The 19,247-nt window shown below is 56.4% G+C and overlaps 2 protein-coding genes across 15 annotated transcripts, besides 13 other annotated features; one reads left to right on the forward strand and one right to left on the reverse strand.

The window, feature by feature from the left end:
- Positions 1,167–1,934: an enhancer, noted in NCBI's record as "H3K4me1 hESC enhancer chr17:40811134-40811901 (GRCh37/hg19 assembly coordinates)". NCBI's record gives its function as "activates a minimal SCP1, AML or CMV promoter by ChIP-STARR-seq in primed H9 embryonic stem cells {active_cell/tissue: H9 hESC(primed)}" and the evidence as "EXISTENCE:reporter gene assay evidence [ECO:0000049][PMID:30033119]".
- Positions 1,292–1,351: an enhancer, noted in NCBI's record as "active region_12213". NCBI's record gives its function as "activates an Ori minimal core promoter by ATAC-STARR-seq in GM12878 lymphoblastoid cells {active_cell/tissue: GM12878}" and the evidence as "EXISTENCE:reporter gene assay evidence [ECO:0000049][PMID:35858748]".
- Positions 1,335–9,057, forward strand: TUBG2 (tubulin gamma 2). 3 transcript variants are annotated; one of them, NM_001320509.2, is made up of 12 exons: positions 1,335–1,603; positions 1,885–1,997; positions 2,200–2,367; positions 2,690–2,758; positions 3,252–3,278; positions 5,024–5,103; positions 5,428–5,554; positions 7,527–7,613; positions 7,729–7,878; positions 8,138–8,290; positions 8,374–8,535; positions 8,654–9,057. In NM_001320509.2, the coding sequence occupies exons 1-12, from the start codon at positions 1,555–1,557 to the stop codon at positions 8,849–8,851; spliced, it is 1,383 nt and encodes a 460-aa protein (NP_001307438.1). In that variant the 5' UTR covers positions 1,335–1,554; the 3' UTR covers positions 8,852–9,057. The 3 variants fall into 3 exon arrangements, with proteins under 3 accessions (NP_001307438.1, NP_057521.1, XP_047291713.1); NM_016437.3 differs by lacking the exon at positions 3,252–3,278; XM_047435757.1 differs by lacking the exons at positions 1,335–1,603; positions 1,885–1,997; positions 3,252–3,278; positions 5,024–5,103 and having other exon boundaries at positions 2,321–2,367.
- Positions 1,362–1,431: an enhancer, noted in NCBI's record as "active region_12214". NCBI's record gives its function as "activates an Ori minimal core promoter by ATAC-STARR-seq in GM12878 lymphoblastoid cells {active_cell/tissue: GM12878}" and the evidence as "EXISTENCE:reporter gene assay evidence [ECO:0000049][PMID:35858748]".
- Positions 1,482–1,551: an enhancer, noted in NCBI's record as "active region_12215". NCBI's record gives its function as "activates an Ori minimal core promoter by ATAC-STARR-seq in GM12878 lymphoblastoid cells {active_cell/tissue: GM12878}" and the evidence as "EXISTENCE:reporter gene assay evidence [ECO:0000049][PMID:35858748]".
- Positions 9,058–9,964: 907 nt separating the features above from the next.
- PLEKHH3 (pleckstrin homology, MyTH4 and FERM domain containing H3) lies at positions 9,965–19,045 on the reverse strand. Of its 12 annotated transcripts, none has more exons than XM_017025115.3 (14): positions 18,453–19,045; positions 16,792–16,926; positions 16,405–16,460; positions 15,985–16,064; positions 15,694–15,885; positions 15,450–15,607; positions 15,227–15,347; positions 14,137–14,443; positions 13,402–13,609; positions 13,045–13,181; positions 12,624–12,756; positions 11,969–12,427; positions 11,481–11,672; positions 9,965–10,354 (listed from the first exon to the last, which is right to left on the reverse strand). In XM_017025115.3, the coding sequence occupies exons 1-14, from the start codon at positions 18,612–18,614 to the stop codon at positions 10,178–10,180; spliced, it is 2,517 nt and encodes an 838-aa protein (XP_016880604.1). In that variant the 5' UTR covers positions 18,615–19,045; the 3' UTR covers positions 9,965–10,177. The 12 variants fall into 12 exon arrangements, 10 of the variants coding, with proteins under 10 accessions (XP_016880604.1, XP_016880606.1, XP_016880603.1 ...); XM_017025117.2 differs by lacking the exon at positions 18,453–19,045 and adding an exon at positions 17,982–18,440 and having other exon boundaries at positions 14,137–14,263; XM_017025114.2 differs by lacking the exon at positions 18,453–19,045 and adding an exon at positions 17,982–18,440 and having other exon boundaries at positions 13,054–13,181.
- Positions 10,281–10,856: an enhancer, noted in NCBI's record as "H3K4me1 hESC enhancer chr17:40820248-40820823 (GRCh37/hg19 assembly coordinates)". NCBI's record gives its function as "activates a minimal SCP1, AML or CMV promoter by ChIP-STARR-seq in naive H9 embryonic stem cells {active_cell/tissue: H9 hESC(naive)}" and the evidence as "EXISTENCE:reporter gene assay evidence [ECO:0000049][PMID:30033119]".
- Positions 12,612–12,691: an enhancer, noted in NCBI's record as "active region_12216". NCBI's record gives its function as "activates an Ori minimal core promoter by ATAC-STARR-seq in GM12878 lymphoblastoid cells {active_cell/tissue: GM12878}" and the evidence as "EXISTENCE:reporter gene assay evidence [ECO:0000049][PMID:35858748]".
- Positions 15,242–16,115: an enhancer, noted in NCBI's record as "H3K27ac-H3K4me1 hESC enhancer chr17:40825209-40826082 (GRCh37/hg19 assembly coordinates)". NCBI's record gives its function as "activates a minimal SCP1, AML or CMV promoter by ChIP-STARR-seq in naive H9 embryonic stem cells {active_cell/tissue: H9 hESC(naive)}" and the evidence as "EXISTENCE:reporter gene assay evidence [ECO:0000049][PMID:30033119]".
- Positions 15,242–16,135: a biological region, named in NCBI's record as "H3K27ac-H3K4me1 hESC enhancer GRCh37_chr17:40825209-40826082".
- Positions 16,086–16,135: a silencer, noted in NCBI's record as "silent region_8539". NCBI's record gives its function as "represses an Ori minimal core promoter by ATAC-STARR-seq in GM12878 lymphoblastoid cells {active_cell/tissue: GM12878}" and the evidence as "EXISTENCE:reporter gene assay evidence [ECO:0000049][PMID:35858748]".
- Positions 16,186–16,305: a silencer, noted in NCBI's record as "silent region_8540". NCBI's record gives its function as "represses an Ori minimal core promoter by ATAC-STARR-seq in GM12878 lymphoblastoid cells {active_cell/tissue: GM12878}" and the evidence as "EXISTENCE:reporter gene assay evidence [ECO:0000049][PMID:35858748]".
- Positions 17,546–17,705: a silencer, noted in NCBI's record as "silent region_8541". NCBI's record gives its function as "represses an Ori minimal core promoter by ATAC-STARR-seq in GM12878 lymphoblastoid cells {active_cell/tissue: GM12878}" and the evidence as "EXISTENCE:reporter gene assay evidence [ECO:0000049][PMID:35858748]".
- Positions 18,826–18,885: a silencer, noted in NCBI's record as "silent region_8542". NCBI's record gives its function as "represses an Ori minimal core promoter by ATAC-STARR-seq in GM12878 lymphoblastoid cells {active_cell/tissue: GM12878}" and the evidence as "EXISTENCE:reporter gene assay evidence [ECO:0000049][PMID:35858748]".
- Positions 18,976–19,225: a silencer, noted in NCBI's record as "silent region_8543". NCBI's record gives its function as "represses an Ori minimal core promoter by ATAC-STARR-seq in GM12878 lymphoblastoid cells {active_cell/tissue: GM12878}" and the evidence as "EXISTENCE:reporter gene assay evidence [ECO:0000049][PMID:35858748]".

Below are 19,247 nucleotides of genomic sequence, written 5' to 3' on the forward strand. Positions count from 1 at the left end.
TCCTGATTCCTCTGAAGGTTTGATAAACAACTTAGTGTTGCTTAGTGACATAGAACTTTAGCGTGAGTGACTCCATTTTGGTTTGGTCTGTTGAGCCAAGCACAGGAGCTCAGTGCAAATCAATGGCCTCCTATAAAATTTATTTAACTGAACCCTTGTGCATTGCTGGTGGGAATTTAAAATGGTGCAGCTACCATGGAAAATCGTATGGCGATTCCTCAGAACATTAAACACAATTACCATATGATCCAGCAATTCTACCTCTGGGTGTATATCCAAAATAATTGAAAGCAGGGACTCGAACAGATATTTGTACACTCACATTCAAAGCAGCAACATTCACAATAGCCAAAAGGTGGAAGCAACCCAAATGTCCATGGAGGGATGAATGGTTATGCAAAATGTGGTACATCTATACAATGGAATATTATTCAGTTGTAAAAAGGAAGGAAATTCTGACACATGCTACGAAATGGAAGGATCTTGAAGATATTATGTTAAGTGAAAGAAGCCAGACCCAAAAAGACAAATACTGTATAATTCCACTCATATCAGGTGCCTAGAGTAGTCAAGGGGAAGTTACTGTTTAATCGCGATAGAGTTTCAGTTTGGGAAGATAAGAAAGTTCTAGAAAAGAATGGTGGTGGTGGTTACAGAACAATGTGAGTGTACTTGGTGCCACAGAACTGTATGCAGTACTTACAAATGGTTACAATGGTAAATTTAGGCCAGGAGTGGTGGCTCATGCCTGTAATCCCAGCATTTTGGGAGGCCAAGGCAGGAGGATTGATTGAGGCCAGTAGTTTAAGACCATCTTGGGCAACACGGTGAGATCCCCATCTCTATAAAAATACATTTTAAAAATTTAAAAATTAGCTGGGCGTGGTAGCACACGCCTGTAGTCCCAGCTACTCGGGAGACTGAAGTGGGAGGATCACTTAAGCCAGAAGTTCAAGGCTACAGTGAGCTATGATCGCGCCACTGCACTCCAGCCTGGGCGACAGAGCGAGACCCTTCTAAAAAATAAAAAGGTAACATACATGTGTATGTATTGTAACACCATTAAAAAACAGAAATTTAAACGAAGAAAAGTTGGCTTCTAGCCCTTTGATCTAGCAAAGCTGACAGTGTCCTCACCTACCAATATAGGTAGATGACTCCTTACACGTGGACAAGCACATCCACCTGGCCGCTTCTCCCCTTTCCTCCCCTCCCCCGTTCCTCTCCTCCCCAACACATCCAGGTTCCGACCCTGCCACCCCCAACGAGTCTCACTGCGCAGGCGCGGAGCGGTGGGCAGGAGCGGGCGTGGCCTGACTCTGCGCCTGTGCGGAATTCCAGCTGCGACTGCTGAGGGAGAAAATGATGCCCAGGTTGGGCTCCCCGGCCCACCGGCCGAGGAGAGGCCTGCGCTGCACACGCGCAGACCGAGCATCCGCGTCAAGAGGCGAAGAGAGCGCGCGCTCCCCACGTCCTGCGCTCCTGGCTGCCGGGCATTCGTCTCAGCCGTGACTCTCGCCAGGCCGGGGCTGGCGCGCCCACGTCTGAAGAGCGATGCCCCGGGAGATCATCACCCTGCAGCTGGGCCAGTGCGGCAACCAGAGTGAGCAAGCGAGCGCCGGCCCCGCCGGTCTCTGGTTCTGCCCCTTCGGGTCCCACCCAAGTGCCTGGCTTCCACCAGTCCCCCTTTCCCTTCCATGAACCCCCTGCCCTGCTGCTCTGGATAACCCAGACCGAGAGCTGCGCCTCCAGCCCGGGGCTGGGGCAGCTACCAAACCCAGGCATCTTGGGTCCACCCTCTGATCGTGTCAGCCTCTGAGACTAAAACTGGGCTCCTCAGGCCTTAAGGCTCCAGCAGACCCGGGCATCTCCCCCCTCCCCCAGTTGGGTTCGAGTTCTGGAAACAGCTGTGCGCCGAGCATGGTATCAGCCCCGAGGGCATCGTGGAGGAATTCGCCACCGAGGGCACTGACCGCAAGGACGTCTTTTTCTACCAGGTGCCCCCAGCGACTTGGCCGGGGGCGGCAGTGGCCCAAGGGGGCGGAAGGGAAGGGAGTGGCCTGGTACTGGGAACCCCGCTGGGCAGTAGGGCCAGGCGGCTGGCTTGAGGAGGGAGGGCCGGAGGGAGCCAGAGTTGGGAGGACTTCGGACTTGGGCCGCCCTAGCTGATTGGGCCCCCTCCTGGACTCCCCTTGACAGGCAGACGATGAGCACTACATCCCCCGGGCCGTGCTGCTGGACTTGGAACCCCGGGTGATCCACTCCATCCTCAACTCCCCCTATGCCAAGCTCTACAACCCAGAGAACATCTACCTGTCGGAACATGGAGGAGGAGCTGGCAACAACTGGGCCAGCGGATTCTCCCAGGTGTCCTAGCGACCATTCCAGAGACCTTTGATATTCCCATCCAGAGGCAAGGCAGGCTCAAGCTACTAGGAATTTGACCTGACTGACAGAAAATAAGAGACAAAAGGATGTCCCGAACAAGAGGGACAGCCAGGGAGAGGTTTATGCAAATTTTGTGCAAATCATTTGCAATAGTAGCACTTCTGGGTTGAGGGCTACAGCCTAGGCTCTGCTTCAGGGTGGCAACAATATTCCAGGGTAGACAGAATTCTTGGTGCTGTGCTGAGAAAAGATGCTCTCTGGAACCTTTGGCCTGACCCTCCCTTTCCATATCTCTATACAGGGTGAGAAAATTCATGAAGACATCTTTGACATCATAGACCGAGAAGCAGATGGAAGTGACAGTTTGGAGGTGAAGTTATGGAGTGGGGGAAGGAATGGGCAGGGAGGCCGAAGAGTGCTGGGGACAGGTCAGGAGGTGGCCTGGATAGGTAATATGAGGGGAGCAATTCAATTCAAAACCCGTTTATGGAGCATCAGATGTGGGATATTGAGGTGAATAAGATATAATCTTTGTTCTCAAGGAAGTCATAAATCTGAATGGCACCGGCCCCTTAGGCATGAGTCATTCAGCTGCTTCTCCAGCTCCAAACCTTCCCAAGGAGCCTCAGCCTGGATGCATAAGAGGAAGCTTTGAGACATTGGCGTTTTGGGAATGGAGAATGAACCAAGCCGAAGTCTCTCCCCCAGATCCTTGGAGACTGCCTCTCCATCTCTCCCCATGCTGGGTGCGATATGTTCCTGGCTTACAGCTCTTATAACCCATGTAATTTCCTAAGGGACTAGAGCAATAATAGTATGTTTTGTTAAAATATTTGACCTTTTGTCCTTGGTTTCTGAAACAGCTCCAGAACAGCTCCAGAGTGATAAAGGTGAAAGACAGTCTTTTGTTATTTATAACAAGCCCGTTTCTTTTAGTTTAATCTTTCATTTTATTTTAATTAGTTAATTTTACTAACCACTGTACTAAGGAGGAACAAGTGCCTTTCAACCAAACCTGAGCTTATGTTAAAGAGGCGATTTTTGGAAAGTCCCAGATAGCCACTGGATGGGGGGCTGGTTGCCAGGGGAACAAACCTGGTGCTCTGAGGGTTGGAATTTACAGGCCCACCCCTCACCTCTGGGGAAGGGAGAGGGGATGAAGATTGAGTAGAGCACCAATTGCCAATGATTTAATCGGTCATGCCTGTGTAATGAAGCCTCCATAAAAATCCAAAAGGACTGAGTTTGGGGGCTTCCAGGAAGGTGAACAAGAACACATCCACAGGCCAGGAGGGTGCAAACCCAACGCCACAGGGCAGCAACTCCTATGCGCCGGACCCTTCTAGAGCTTCCCCTCGGTATCTCTTCATCTGGCTGTTTATTTGTATCCTTTAAAATATCCTTTATAACAAATGGATGAACGTAAGTAAGTGTCTCCTTGAGTTCTGTGAGCTACTCTAACAAATTAATTGAACCCAAGGAGCAGTCCTGAGAACCTCGATTTATAGCTGGTTGGTCAGAGGCACAGATAAAACAACCTGAAGCTTGTGTTGGCATTGGAAGTGGGAGAGTCTTGTGGGACTGAGCCTTCACTCTGTGGGATCTGATGCTATCTTCAGGTACAGATACTCCTCAACTTACAATGGGTTTATCAGGATGTAAACACATCACAAATTGAAAATATTGACTAGGCACAGTGGCTCATGCCTGTAATCCCAGCACTTTGGGAGGCCGAAGCAGGTGGATCATCCGAGCCCAGGAGTTCAAAACCAGCCTGGGCAACATGGTGAAACCCCATCTCTGCAAAATATACAAACATTATCCAGGCATGGTGGTACATGCCTATAGTCCAAGCTACTTGGAGGCTGAGATAGGAAGATGCCTTGAGCCCAGGAATTCAAGGCTGCAGTGAGCTATGATCACACCACTGCACTGCAGTCTGGGGGACTGAGTGAGATCCTGTCTCTAAAACCAAAACAAATTTGAGGACAGGTGCGGTAGCTCATGCTTGTAATCCCAACACTTTGGCAGGCCGAGGCGGGCAGATCACTTGAGGTCAGGAGTTCAAGACCAGCCTGGCCAACATGGTGAAACCCCGTATCTACGAAAAATAAAAAAATTAGCCAGGCGTGGTGGTACATGCCCGTAGTCCCAGCTACTTGAGAGGCTGAGGCAGGAGAATGGCTCGAACCTAGGAGGTAGAGGTTGCAGTGAGCCAAGATCGGGCCATTGCACTACAGCTTGGGTGACAGAGCAAGACTCCGTCTCAAAAAAAAAAAAAATTGAAAATACCGTAAGTAGAAATGCATCAGGTTATAACCCAATAAGCCCATCATGAAGTTGAAAAATTGTAAATTGAACCATTGTAATTCAGATGCTTCTTGATTTAAGATGGGATTATGTCCTGATAAACCCATCATAAAGCCAAAACATCTTAAATTAAACCATCCTAAGTCAGGGACAGTCTGTAGGTAGTCCAGAATTGAAGTGAATTAGTGGATACCCAGCTGGCATCTACTGTAGAATTGACTGCTTACCTGATGTGTGTGGTAAGACCCCACCCATCTGGTATCAGAATTGTGTTGTGAGAGTGTGGCAGGAGAAACTGAGTCTGTTTATTCCTGTATACACACAGGGCTTCGTGCTGTGTCACTCCATCGCTGGGGGTACGGGTTCTGGCCTGGGCTCCTACCTCCTGGAGCGACTGAATGACAGGCAAGCCTGTGTTTGGGGAGAGGGCATTAACCCTGGTTCCCTGAGTAATGTCATTGCTTTTTTCTCTTGAGCTAGAAAGTCTGCCACTACCCCTTTTGAGTCATAGGGACAGACCCACCCAAGGACCATGTTGGAAGCTATTTTGGGGGGTGGGGGTTTACCTGTGGAGGGGAGGGGATCTACAGAGTTTGAAGCTTTCAGGCTTATCCTTTTTGGCTCTGAAGACTCAGTTCTGCCCTCACCCCTTTTGTACAAAATGGCACATATGGGCAGTGATGGAGGGGTCCTTCCGGTTCACTATGCCACCATCCTCTTTTCTCTCAGGTACCCCAAGAAGCTAGTGCAGACTTATTCAGTGTTTCCCTACCAGGACGAGATGAGCGACGTAGTGGTTCAGCCCTACAATTCACTCCTGACACTCAAGAGGCTGACGCAGAACGCAGATTGTGTGGTGAGCAAAGAAAGAGTTGAGGGGCTGGGTGTGGTGGCTCATGCCTGTAGTTCTAGCACTTTGGGAGGCCTAGGCAGATGGATTGCTTGAGCTCAGGAGTTCAATACTAGCCTGGGCAACATGTGAAACCCTATCTCCACAGAAAATACAAAAATTAGAGCTGGGTGCGGTGGTTCACACCTGTAATCCCAGCACTTTGGGAGGCTGAGACGGGCGGATCACCTATGGTTGGGAGTTCGAGACCAGCCTGACCAACATGAAGAAACCCCATCTCTACTAAAAAAACAAAATTAGCCAGGCGTGGTGGCGCATGCCTGTAGTCCCAGCTACTCGGGAGGCTGAGGCAGGAGAGTTGCTTGAACCTGGGAGGTGGAGGTTGCAAGGAGCTGAGATTGCAGCATTGCACTCCAGCCTGGGTGACAGAGCGAGACTCTGTCTCAAAAAAAAAAAAAAATTAGCCAGTCCTGGTAGCATGTGCCTGTAGTCCCAGCTACTTGGAGGCTGAGGCAGGAGAATCACTTGAACCCGGGAGGCAAAGGTTGCGGTGAGTCAAGATCACACCATTGCACTCCAGCCTGGGTGACAGAGCGAGACTCTGCCTCAAAAAATAACATAAAAAAAAATTAGCCGGGCATGGTGGCATGTGCCTGTAGTACTAGCTACATGGGAGGCTGAGGTGGGGGGATTGCTTGAGCTCAGGAAGTCGAGGCTGCAGTGAGCCATGATCACACCACTGCACTCCAGCTTGGGCAACGGAACAAGACCTTGTGTTTAAAAAAAAAAAAAAAAGGGTAGAGGACTTTGGTCTGTCTCCTCAGGCCAGTGAGTCTCATTCACCCCACCTTTCCTCAGCCCCTATACACACAGACAGAAGACCAACAAAGCCATACCTGTGGGCCAAATTAGGAAATAAGGTCCTGACTTCTAAGTTTCTTAGAATCCTTTTAGGCAGCAAAACTCTCAACAAAGTGAATATACCTTCCCCACACCACCACGTATCCCACCTTTGCCTACTTAATGCCCACTCATGCTTGTATTCTTAGCTCAAGGATAACTTTCTTAGCAAAACCCTTCCTGACTACTCAGTCAAGATCAGATTCCTATATGTGTATTTTAGGGAGTTAACTATAATTTTCTGTTTTATATTTAGTGTGCCTCCCTCCACGAGACTATAGGCCTAATGAAGGGAAAGACGGTGCCTGTTCCTCTCTGTGGTCTTCCCAGAGCCAGGCACAGTGTATGGCACATGTGGGTACTCACGTGTTTGTTTACTGCCCTGCGTAGTCCGAGAGTATCTCATGGTGCCCCAGAAACAGTACTTTTCTTTCTTTTTATTTTTTATTTATATTTATATATATATATATATATTATATATATTTATACTTTTTTATTTATATTTTTTACAGAGATGGCATCTTGCTGTGTTGCTCAGGCTGGTGTCCAACTCCTGGCCTCGAGTGGTCCTCCCACCTTGGCCTTGGGATTACAGGCCTGAGCCACCATGCCCAGCAGTACTTTTATTTTATTTTATTTATTTTATTTTATTATTTTATTTTATTTTTGAGACGGAGTCTTGCTCTGTCCCCCAGGCTGGAGTGCAGTGGCATGATCTTGGCTAACTGCAAACTCCGCCTCCCGGGTTCATGCCATTCTCCTGCCTCAGCCTCCGAATTAGCTGGGACTACAGGCGCCCGCCAACATGCCTGGCTAATTTTTTGTATTTTTAGTAGAGACGGGGTTTCACCGTGTTAGCCAAGATGGTCTCGATCTCCTGACCTTGTGATCCGCCCGTCTCGGCCTCCCAAAGTGCTGGGATTACAGACATGAGCCACCGCGCCCGGCCTCAGTACTTTTTTTTTTTAAACTAACAAACCTACTTCCTGGCTTTGGAGTTCAGCAGGGGCTAAGCCAATATCTTATTTCTATGCCCATTTTATCCTCAAGATGCTGTGATGCTCTTCTGTCCCCCCAGGTGGTGCTGGACAACACAGCCCTGAACCGGATTGCCACAGACCGCCTGCACATCCAGAACCCGTCCTTCTCCCAGATCAACCAGCTGGTGGGCCCCCACTCCCGGACTCCTTTGGACTGGAAGCCCTCCTTGCTGGAGGGTCATCTGGGGAAGGAAGGTCCCACCCAGGCCGAGCCCCATGACATGGCACGCCTGTCCCCAGGTGTCCACCATCATGTCGGCCAGCACCACCACCCTGCGCTACCCCGGCTACATGAACAATGACCTCATCGGCCTCATCGCCTCGCTCATTCCCACCCCACGGCTCCACTTCCTCATGACCGGCTACACCCCGCTCACTACAGACCAGTCAGTAAGAGCAGCCTTCAGTGTCCCAGGCCAGGCTGGCCCTGGGCCCAGCAGGCCCTGCCCCAGCCTTTCTCTCTTCCCCACTGCCCCAGGAGCTGCCCTTTGCAGGCCCCAAGGCACTGCGCTCAGGGACTGGCACAGAGCGGGCGACTTTCTTGCTGACTTTCTCTCCACCCTCCCTCTGCCTTTGGCTTCTGCCAAAGAGAAGCCAAAGGGACTGTGCCCTGAGCGCTGGCCGGGTCCCTGTCTCACTGTCCCATCAGGTGGCCAGCGTGAGGAAGACCACGGTCCTGGATGTCATGAGGCGGCTGCTGCAGCCCAAGAACGTGATGGTGTCCACAGGCCGAGACCGCCAGACCAACCACTGCTACATCGCCATCCTCAACATCATCCAGGGAGAGGTGGACCCCACCCAGGTAGGGGAGGCCCCTTCATCCCGCGCCCTGGACCTGCAGGGGTAGAGGAGAGGCCACCTCCACTGCTCCTATGCCCACCCCAGGTCCACAAGAGCCTGCAGAGGATCCGGGAACGGAAGTTGGCCAACTTCATCCCGTGGGGCCCCGCCAGCATCCAGGTGGCCCTGTCGAGGAAGTCTCCCTACCTGCCCTCGGCCCACCGGGTCAGCGGGCTCATGATGGCCAACCACACCAGCATCTCCTCGGTGAGTCTAGGTTTCTATTCTTCTTAGAAGAGTCTGTTCCACTGGCCACCTTCATCATCTTCCCCAAGTTCACTCCTAACCCCCTGGCTCGCATTTTGGAGATTTTCATCTCTTTCAGCTCTTTGAAAGTTCCTGCCAGCAGTTTGACAAGCTGCGGAAGCGGGATGCCTTCCTCGAGCAGTTCCGTAAGGAGGACATGTTCAAGGACAACTTTGATGAGATGGACAGGTCTAGGGAGGTTGTTCAGGAGCTCATTGATGAGTACCATGCGGCCACCCAGCCAGACTACATTTCCTGGGGCACCCAGGAGCAGTGATTTCCCTCCCCACTACTCCTTCTCCTTCTAGATGGTAACCACAGCCTCGACCATGCCTGCTCCCTCTGACCCAGCTTCACCTCATGGACAACCCTTCTTGGTTCATCTCCAGCCCGTGAGCTGGTCCTGCTTCCTCCCTTCCATGCCCTAACTTTTAATATGCTTGTTCAGCTCTAATAAAGTAATAAAGCTTGGTTGTCAGTATAGCCAGGGCTTGATCTGTGAATACGGGGGGGTGGTGAAGGGGTCCAGTTTCTAGGCATCTGACAGTAGGGTGGCCTTCACCTCCTCCAACGTCTTATCACTTAGTCCAAATCTTAGTGTGTTCACTGTTTCCATTGGCATCCCTCACCTTGAACTAGGCTGTTTAGTATTACTAGAGTCAGCCCTTGTCTCAAGATTACAGAGCTTTACTGAGGTTTGCTGTCTCCTCAGCGCCTAAGCTTTGCCCCAGTGAGGGTCAATGTTGCCCCAACCTCTTCCACTCAGGGCAGAGGAGGTGGGGTCTACTGAAGGAGGGCACACTACATTCTGAGCAGGCCAGGAGAGCCAAGGTTCCAGATTCCCAGTGCCCAGGGCCATGAGAGTTCCAGGAACTCAATCCAGTTCAACCCAACCTGATAAGTAGAAACAGAATTCAAGAGTAGGGCTGAGCACATCCTGAGTTACTTTTCTGTGCCAGAGAAATTCGTGGGTTTGTTATCTGCCCCAAGCTTCTCTCCATTCTAGGCCCAAAGCATTAGGCACACCAATGATGGGCCCAGAGGTGGACAACGAGTAAGAAATGGGCAGTGCCAGATCTGATGACTCACTGCCCTCCAGCCTCAGGGATTCCAGGAGGCCATCTGTATGCCACTCAGTGGAGAAGGGAGGGTGAGTAACTGCCAGCTTCCAATGAGGCCTGTTTGCCTGCTCCACCCACAAACCTGTGGCAGCACACTGGCCAGGAGGAGGTTAAGTCTGGAAGGTCAAGGAGGGGGAGGGTGAAGCGCTGTGGTGTCCAGACTTCCCCCAGAGCCTGGTAAAAGCCCAGGGTGTGGGCATCCCCAGAGGCGGGGCTCTGCGTTATGGGGTTCCAACTTGTCCCACTGAATAACACTCCCACAGGAAGGGTTTGTGTAAATAAGAAACTTTTTTTTTTTTTTTGCTTCTCTTCTACAAATAAATTAAGAAACAAACTAGAAAATTACCCACACCCATTGTAGCCCTTGGGTGTGGGATGTGCCCTGTCCCTGCAGGGCCAAAAGGGTCCATGTTTCCCTCAAATCTCAGAGCAGTCCTGGCCCAGGCTGCAGGCAGGAGGGAAGTCGTGACCTCTTGGCAGGCTCAGTCCTGCAGCTGCCCCAAGCAGCCAGACTGTCCCTGGGGCTCGTCCAGGCCCGGGCGCTGGCTGGGAGGGGAGGTGTCTGGCAGGTCTTGGCATGGAGGAGAAGAGCTGCTGCAGGGCCTCTCGGGGGAGGGGTTGGCCAAGTAGGCATTCACCAGCTGCATGATCTCTTCCACCTAAGAGAGGGCAGAGGTCAGTGTGCAACAGGGGCTGCCAGGTTCTCTTCTTTTTCTCATCCTTTCTCCAGGCTCTAGGGCTCCAGCTTCCCCACCAGGGTCCTACGTGCTCTGGCCCTGCAACCTTTCCTTCCTTATCACCACTCTCTCCTTCATTTCTTTTTTGTTTTTTGAGACGGAGTCTCGCTGTGTCCCCCAGGTTGGAGTGCAGTGGCGCGATCTCAGCTCACTGCAAGCTCCGCCTCCTGGGTTCACACCATTCTCCTGCCTCAGCCTCCTGAGTAGCTGGGACTACAGGCGCCCGCCAACACGCCCGGCTAATTTTTTGTATTTTTAGTAGAAACAGGGTTTCACCGTGTTAGCCAAGATGGTCTCGATCTCCTGACCTCATGATCCGCCCATCTCGGCCTCCCAAAGTGCTGGGATTACAGGCGTGAGCCACCGCGGCCGGCTTCTCTCCTTCATTTCTATGTGCCAGTTATACTTGGTTCTTTCTGCTCTTCTAACATTTTTTTTTGTTGTTGTTGTTGTTGTTGTTGTTGAGACGGAGTCTTGCTCTGTTGCCAGGCTGAAGTGCCTCGGCTCACTGCAACCTCCGCCTGCCGGGTTCAAGCAATTCTCCTACCTCAGCTTCCCGAGTAGCTGGGACTATAGGTGTGCGCCACCAGCCCCAGCTAATTTGTATTTTTAGTAGAGATGGGGTTTCGCCATGTTGGTCAGGATGGTCTCGATCTCCTGACCTCGTGATCTGCCCGCCTCGGCCTCCCAAAGTGCTGGGATTACAGGCATGAGCCACTGCACCCGGCCACCTTGCAATTCTTTCTACCTGGAATGCTGTTCTCCCAGGTCTTCCCTGGCTAGCTTAAATGGCACCCTTTTTGAGAACCCTTCCCTGGCTTCCTGTCACATCACTCTTTCCTTTGTAGCATTTCTCACTGTCTTCATAGCCTGGGATTCCTTGTTTATTGTCTGACTCCACTCTAGTGTAAGCTCCTTCAGCTTGTCTGTGATCACTGCTGGATCCCCAGTGCTTAGAGCTCTACCTGGCCCAGGTTTGGTGTTCTGTAAATGCTTCCTGACATCGCTTCCCTTCTCTCCTCCTCCCACAACTCCTCTTCTCACTCACCTGGGGGCTCTGCAGGAGGAGCTGGCTCTCTCCCACCCTCAAGGCCAGGGTGTGGGGGCCCATTAGCTGGCAGGCGGCCACATGGCCATAGCTGACACTGTGGATGGGCTCCGTCTCCCCTGGCCGGGAGAGGGACATGGCCTTGGCTCCCAAGCCCAGGCACAGCTTCTGTGGAGCACCCCGACCAGGCTCCTGCAGACAGAGAGGCAGAGTCAGGGTGGAAGGAGGAGCCCAGCGTTATTTTTGGTAGGGGGAGATGGGTGTCTGTGAGCAGGAGTATCCTGATCCCCCTATGATTCACAGCACGTGTGTGGAGGGGGCTGAGGCTCCAGGGATGTGAGGGCCCAAGGGCTGGTGACTCCTGGGGTTTGAGATGGGTAGCTGTTCTGGATGTGGGGAATTACGTGACACTCCGTGGGACCTGTGGCTCTGGGGCAAAGGTGTGGGGCTTGGGCCGCCAGAGTCCCCTTCTCCCTTCTCCCCCTCACCGTGCTCAGCTCCAGAACGTCATACCGAGCAGCGCCGAACCCCGGACACTGCGCCGCCAGGGCCAGGTAGGCGGCCATGGCCTCAGCTCGGCCCATGCCCCGTAGCCGCTTCCAGCCGCCCAGCACGGCAGCTGCCGTGCCGGCGCCGCCTCCTCCCTCGCGGGCAATGCTTCCCGCAGTGCGGCCGGCCCCGCCGCGCCGGGCCCGCTCCGCCCGCCTCTTGGCCAGGCCCGGGCTCCAGAGCGCCCCGGCCAGCAGGGCAGCGGAAGGGGGCGGCCTGGGGGTCGGGCGGGGCGGGTCTTCGCGCGGCGGGGCCGGGGGCGGGAGCAGGCGGTCCAGGCGGGGCAGGGGCACCCGCGGAGAGAAGTCCCGCTGCAGGCTCTGCAGGCGCAGCGCCGCCAGGGCGCGCAGCGTGTCGTCGGGTGGGGGCGGCCGGCCCCGCAGCAGCAGAGCGTGAGCCTGCAGGGGAGGCACCCGGCGTCAGTGTACGAGCGGCGGCGGAACCGTCGCGAAAACGCCTCGCGGAATCTGAGCAGGTCTAGGTTCCAGTCAAGCCTCCCGCGGGGCTGCCATAGTGATGAAATGAGACGGCCTAGAAAACCAGGGGTTCAGGCTTGGGGGTCTGTTTGGAGGCGTGAACGCCGGAGAGCCTCACCTGCTCAAAGAGGAAAGGCAGTTCGTGACCGTCTGGGGACAGCCCCTCAGGGTGCAGAGGTCCGTGAAGACGCAGACATAGTCTCCACCCGGAGTCGGGCGAGTCCTCCAACCCAGCTTCCTCCGCGGCCAAGCTGCAGAAGAGGAGCGGACGAAGCGCTAGGGAGAAGCCGGACCCCTACGGCGAGGGCAGCTTGGGGTGGGGGCGGGGCCATGTGTTTGGGGCGGGGCCTGGGCGGAGCCGACAGCGGAGGTGATGCTGCAGTCGGACTGCAAACCTGCGGCGGGCAGGTCCGTCTGTAAACCAGCGAACACCACAGCGCAGGGCCAGGGGCAAGCGCTGGATAATGTCCGCTTAGAGACTGACCTCAGCTGAGAAGTGGATGGGCTAATAGAGAGCAGGGCTGGGGCTGGACATTTACTTCTCAAACCTGGTGAGCACGTCGGCCACGAGGGTCCCCCCAGCCAGGGCTCGCTCCTGGGCCCCTCGCTGCTCGTACAGCGCGAATGCGTTGCGGCTCCGGGCCAAGCCCAGCCGCCCCACCAGCTCTCGAGCCACCTAGAAGAGGAGGGTGAGGGGAGACCACTCAGAGGTCTTGCCAGGATTCTGGGAGGGGTTGATTCAATTGGAAGGGGTCTCTTAGTCCTGTCACCACCACTCCCTCCCTTACCAAAATAATCTAGACTCGGGGCAAACCTAGGGTCCAGGAAGAGGGAGAGACAGGCGTGAGAAGCTGGCAGGGTGGGTTGGAGGTCATGGGGCCTTTCTCTGGCCTCACCTCCCCCGCCGTGGTGTGGGAGTCGATGGCCACAGCACAGGCACCAGCCCCCGGACAGTGCACGGTACACAGCAGCTCCTGCCGTTGGCTCAACGCGGAAATCTCCGCCAGCGAGGGCACCAGCTCTCTGCCGCGCGTCCGGCCCAGCGCTTTCCGGATGAAGCGCGCATATTCCGCCAGTTCCGAGTCCGGGAGTGCCTGCTCGGTCCTGGGTTAGGAGGAACCCAGGGATCAATACTCCAAGGGCTTTCTTCTCCCCCTCCCTCTTGCCTGCTTCTCTTATAGTTTATTTTATCTAGCCGATTTCCTCCCCGCCCCAACTCAAGTTCTTTGAAGGCTCTTCTAAATCTCTCCCCAGTGCTTTGCATAGAGCTGAATTACTTTTCAAGTCCCCTGGCAGCTTTCTCCCAACTGCCTCCACCACTTCCAAAAGTCTTCGTGATCTTCCTTCGGCCTGAAATCGAAATCCAGCCACTTTACTACATTTTCCTAAGCCCTGGCGCTGGCCTGCATCAGCTGGAGGAAAAGCAGCCTTTTCATAACTCCTCAGCCCAAGGGGGGCGTTTTATTGTAATTCATCCGCTCACAACTGCGATAGGATCTTGTATCTCCCACAAAGGCACTGTATGTATTACTCGGTTCTTTACCTACCAAGTCTTTTGCAAAAGACCTTTCATTCTCTCCCAGCCCGGTAGCTCCTCGCCTAGGCCGTAACCCCCACCTCGCCCCTCTCACCTCTCCAAGTGCCCCAGGAGGTGCCCCCGCACAGCTCCCCCAGGTCGGAAGGTGCAGCTCATGCAGGTGAGGAGTTGCCAGTACCGCAGGGCCGCAGGGTCTTGGGTAGCCGGGAGCCCGGGGGGACCTGCAGGGCCCGAGGTCTGCTTAGCCAGCTGCAGGAAGAGTTCATCCCGGAGCGCGGGCAAGTCCCGGCAGGTTTGGAGCACACCCTGCATCAAGGGCCCGGGGCGCCGCGCCCCCTCCAGCGCCTGCAGCGCCAAGAACAGCCGCACCGCCTCCTCGCGCAGGGGTGCATAGCCCGGACCTGTGGGAGGGTGGGGGCGGAGGGACGGTTTGGAGAGGGGACACAGAGCTGCGCCCTGGGAGGAAGGCATGAACCAGGGGAAGGTCAGAGGGAATATAAGGGGATGGGGTGGCAGGGAGGGGAGGGTACGAACGACAGGAAGAGTGAAGGGAAAGCAGTGGTCCCACGGAGCCAGACTCTCAACCTCTGCCTCCCAGGAATCCCCTTCCCAATCCCACTAAGCCTGCATTTGGACTTAGGGAGACGGACGGCCGGGAAGGGCTGTAGATTCACACCCCAGATTCTGTAACTCCATACTGAGGCTCACCACCATAGGTCAGAAAACAGGCTGGACTAGGAGTCAGAAAACCGGGGTTCCTCTCCCAGCACCCTTTAATCCTCTAACTTTAGGACCTGGGCCAGTCACTACACCGTTTAGGGAGAAGTACAGTTGGATGAGGCCAGCACATTCTACAAAAGTGGTAGCTTTTCTACCACTTGTAAAGGTAATATGGCATAGTCTCAAGAGGATAATGAAAAAATAGGGGAGTGTACAAACTCCTGAAGGAACATCAGTAGTCAGAATGAGACCCATAGAGAAGGTGGCCAAAGGGGGCCCTTTTGTGTGTGCTGGCTTCCTCTCCTCCACCCTGGCCAGCTTCCAGTTTCACCTTCATCCTTCGAAAAGTGAGGAGCTGGCAGGTCCATGAAGGATGCTTAGATCCCTGCCAGTTAAGGGATTCAGATTCTTACCTCTGAACCACCCCATCCCATCCAGGGGACTTGGGCCATGGGACCACTCACCTGGGGCGCTGACTCCATAGGGCAGGGGCAGGAGTGGGGCATACAAGGCTCCACTAGTGTGTCTCAGAATCGGGTTCCTCAGGTAAATGAGGGCAACGGCCTCTGGGTCCCCGCAACTTTCCTAGGGGGCCAGGGAGAGGGTCACCTTGATGGGGAAGGGAGTTCCTCACAACCCCAGAAAGCTTTGGGGTCCACCACTCTCCTGGCTCTCCCTGGTGTGTACCTGTATGTCCCTGAGCAGTAGCTGGGTGGGGGTCTCCAGGGGTGCCTTGGAGGCGATCACTTCCCGCAATGCCACCCCCCAGCGCTCAGCCTCTGCCTGGCGTGGGGAGCAGAGGCGGACACTGTGTTTCCGACCAGACACAGTCACTGACCACAGACCTGGGGAAAAGAGAGGCCAGGGAGGGCCATTAGGGTCTGCCGGGGCCCCTGCCTAGGAAGGTAGGAGAGTCCCCAGGAGGTCTCACCTGTCTCCTTACGCCTGCGCTCTGGGCCGGTCACCGAGCACAGGCTGGTGAGCACGAGGCTCCCGAGACGCCGCGCCCCTTTCCCGCTGCTGCTGAACTGATCCAGGGAGTCCCGCGTGAGCACAAACCAGGCTCGGCGCGGGGGCAGCCAGGGCCGCGCCCCTCCTCCGCGGGGCTCCCGGTACAGCCAACCTGGGGGCCGGAGAGGGAGGGAAGGGACATCAGTAGAGACATTAATCCCTAGGGGGTTGGGATTGGGGGCCTCCAGAGTGCACTGAGGGGGGTCTCTACCTTTCACAACGATGTCCGGGTCGTCCTCCGGCAGCCCTTTCTCCGGGATGAGGCTCCAAGTCTCCTCCCAGCTCTGCAGCCTGGGCCAGAGGGGAGGGAAGGTTGGGTCTCCACTCTGCCTCTAGGGGGCTCCTCTGTAGGGGCTCCCCAGACCGCACGGGTGTCTGCTCCCAAGCTGGGCACCCCTCCCCCAGGCTGTGGGAACCGCTGGGCCATTCTGACCTCGAACCAGAAATAGCCCCGACCCCCCTCTTTCTCCCCGCGCCCCCAGCCGGACCGCCCCCCGGGACCCCAGCCAAACCACAGCGTCCGGCATAGGGCCTCTCCCTTATTGCACAACCGCTAGGGGAGACAGAGAGGATGGGGGTCCCGGGAACATGCTGGGGTCGCCAGACTATGGGACGTAGGGGCGTAGCTCACCTGTTGGAGACAGGCCCGCTCCTCACTGGCTGAGTCAGCGTCACTTCCAGGGGACCCTGGGGAGACAGGCGGGGAAGCCCTCAGGGTCAGAGCCCTTCCTGCGCAAGGTTCGTGCCTTCTGCCCTCAGGACAGGGCTGCTCAGGGGATTGAGGAAGGAGGAGTCACAGAGTGGGGTCGTGACTAGGGTGGAGCACGCTGGAGCCCCTGGGCTCGCCCCTCCCGCCAGTCTTAACAGGACAAGCTCTTCAGAACAGCAGGAGCTAAGGAGCCAAGGCTCCTCTCAGTTACCCTTTGAAAATACAATCAGGGGTAGGGTAGGGTGGAAAGAGCACTGGGCAGAGAGTCAGGAGACCTGGGTTCCAATTCCCGCCCCACCACTAACTCACTGTGGAACCTTGGGCAAGTCTCTTCCCGTCTCCGGGCCTTAGTTTCCCCATCTTTGAAACAGGAGAGGTGAGCTCGTTCTGCCAGGCTCCAAGGCACCCTCTCCTCCTCATTTTCCCTTCTTCCACACTGCCTCCCTGGCCAAGGCAGGACAGGTGGTAGGCACAGAGGTGAATGAAGGGCAGAGGGACCCTTTCAGTATAGGGCTTTCTCCAAAAGCGTCTTACATTCTCCCATAGACACTCCTGAGACTCAATGGTGAGCAGAGACCCTGCCCCTTTGCTGGGGCTTAGGAAGGGCGGGCCAGACTGAGGAATGGCACACCCTCTGGAGGCAGGTGTAGTTCAGGGTTTTGCCCTCCCCCTCCCCCTCCTCCTCCCTTCCCCCTGTCCTGGAACTTCAACTGTAGACTGGGGTCTGAGAGAGGCCACAAACCCAACCCGGAGGCCAGTCAGGCGGGAACCGTGCCATCCTCATATTGCTCCCAGACTGCTAGAGCCAAGAGGGGGAGGTGGGGGAGGGGGCCAGGGACACCTGTCCCCAGGCTCAGGGAAGGGGGGAGTTGAGGTGGAGCATGAGGGAGGCAATGGCCTGGTAAAGCCGACCCTGCCCAAGCTGGAAGCTTGGGGACGCCTGGGTCCTGCACCCTTCCTACGTGAACCTCCACCTATTTTCTGGAAGGTCTGAGTGGGGCTGTCAGCCACACCACATGTGGCAGGTACTGACCACCCTCTTAGGCTAACTCCCCTAATCGCAGTGCCCTGCTTCCCTCCCTCCCCCCTCCTCTATATTTATCCACCCTCCGCCTCCGCCAGGTGCTGGCGCCGGCCCCGGCGGCGCAGCCCGCCCCACCCGGGCACCGAGCCACTGGGCCTGCTGGGGACCCCTGCGCGGGGGATGGGAGCCTGACCCGGGCCACAGCACACGGGAGTCTGGCCGCCAGTGTGCAGGAGGGATGGGGGAGGAGACGTCAAGGGATGGAGGTCTCCCACACCAATCGTGCCTCCGTTTCCCCACGGGGAGATTCGACAAAACCAGGCAGCAGCCCAGTGTCCCTCACCATCCATCCCCTCAGGGGTTTCCCAGGAGCCTCACCCGGGAAAGCCGAGAGTTCTGTCCTGAGTGGCAGGGTAATGAGGAGGGGTCCTCAAAGAGCTCCCACCTCCCTCTCCTTGGGGTCCCCGCCACAGACCCCAATCCTGGGATGACTTCTCCCCCTCGTCCAGGTCTCCGCAGCGGGAGCTCTCGCATCTGGCCTCCGCACTTGCGAACTGGGAGCGGAGGGGGACCCAGGCGTTCGAGCCGCCCAGCCGGCCTCGCCACATTCCTCGGCGCTGGCGGAGGCGGAAGGAGACGGGATGGGACGCGGGCCCAGCGGGGAAGGGAGAGGCAGGGCCAGGTCGGGCCACGCGTGACGCCTCCCCTGCCTCAGGGCCCCCAGCAGGTGGATAGCGCCCAGCCTGCAGCGGGAGGCCCACAGGCACATCCCGAGTAGGGCTGCTGCTCCGAGAGCTCCCGGGGGCTTTGGCCCCCAGGCAAAAAACTCTCCCTCATCCCTAGTTCGCCAAGCGCGCAGCGTGTGGCTGGAGGCTGGAGCGGATCAGCGTGACGGCCGGTTACAGCGAGAGTGATTGAGACGAGGCTCCGAACCCCCGGGACTTACCCTCCCGCCGCCCGCTGGACTCGGGGTCCGCAGCTCAAAGGTTTCCTCGTCCTCGTCCTCGTCCCCGTCCCCGCTAAGCTCGCCGTCCCCGTAGTCCCGGTGCAGAAGAGTGAAGCCTCGACGGCAGCAGAGAAGCCACCATAGTCCCCCGGGGAGAGGCATCCGGGCGAGGAGCTGCGGATGGGGGCGCGGGCAGCCGCGGCCGAGCAGTAGGGGGTCGGAGGAACTGGCGGGGCTCCGACCCGAGCAGGGGAAAGATGAGGTGGGAGGAGCAGAAGGGAGAAGAGGACAGGGAGGAGGCAGTGTCCTGGGCTGGGGTGCAAGGGGACGCTAGCCAGACGCTGAGGGGGGCTCAGTGTCTGGGCCCCCGGAGGGGGGAGGGGGAAAAGCGTCCAGGGCCCCGGGAGAGGAGGGAGCAATGTCCGGAGCTGGGAAGTAGTGTCCGTTGGAGTGTCCAGCCCTGTGGGGGGCAGTGTCCGGTGCAGCGTCCGAGGTGGGCAGTTGTCCAAGCTCCAGGGAGGGTCGTGTCCGGTAGGGCGTCCGGTGGCCGGGGCCCGGGCCGCGCGCGCTGCGCTCCCTGCAGCCCCGGGACTGGCGCGCTGGGGGCGCGAGCACAGAGCTGGGACCCCGCCCCCCCGGCCCCCTCCCTCCCGGGGGGCCCCCCCTCTCTCTTCTTTCTCTCCTCCCTTCTTTACTAGGCAGGGTCCAGGTTTCGTCACAGTCTCCTCTGTCCAATCCCTGTGCCTGGCGCCGGGCGCGGCTACCAATCAGACGGCTGAAACCGCGTTGGGTTGC

The sequence above is a fragment of the Homo sapiens genome, chromosome 17 (assembly GCF_000001405.40).
Source record: "Homo sapiens chromosome 17, GRCh38.p14 Primary Assembly".
Classification (NCBI taxonomy): Eukaryota; Metazoa; Chordata; class Mammalia; order Primates; family Hominidae; genus Homo; species Homo sapiens.

What these genes read in the sequence shown, in the direction of transcription:
- TUBG2 (NM_001320509.2), top strand. Translation starts at nt 1,555, where the DNA reads ATGCCCCGGGAGATCATCACCCTGCAGCTGGGCCAGTGCGGCAACCAG. An exon ending in ATGGAAGTGACAGTTTGGAG is followed by an intron (nt 2,759 to 3,251) that starts GTGAAGTTATGG and finishes TTTCTGAAACAG; the next exon opens with CTCCAGAACAGCTCCAGAGT. An exon ending in GAGAGGTGGACCCCACCCAG is followed by an intron (nt 8,291 to 8,373) that starts GTAGGGGAGGCC and finishes TGCCCACCCCAG; the next exon opens with GTCCACAAGAGCCTGCAGAG.
- PLEKHH3 (XM_017025113.2), bottom strand. Translation starts at nt 18,275, where the DNA reads ATGTGCCTGTGGGCCTCCCGCTGCAGGCTGGGCGCTATCCACCTGCTG. An exon ending in CCCGGACATCGTTGTGAAAG is followed by an intron (nt 15,886 to 15,984) that starts GTAGAGACCCCC and finishes TCCGGCCCCCAG; the next exon opens with GTTGGCTGTACCGGGAGCCC. An exon ending in CTCCTGGGGCACTTGGAGAG is followed by an intron (nt 13,610 to 14,136) that starts GTGAGAGGGGCG and finishes CTCCTAACCCAG; the next exon opens with GACCGAGCAGGCACTCCCGG.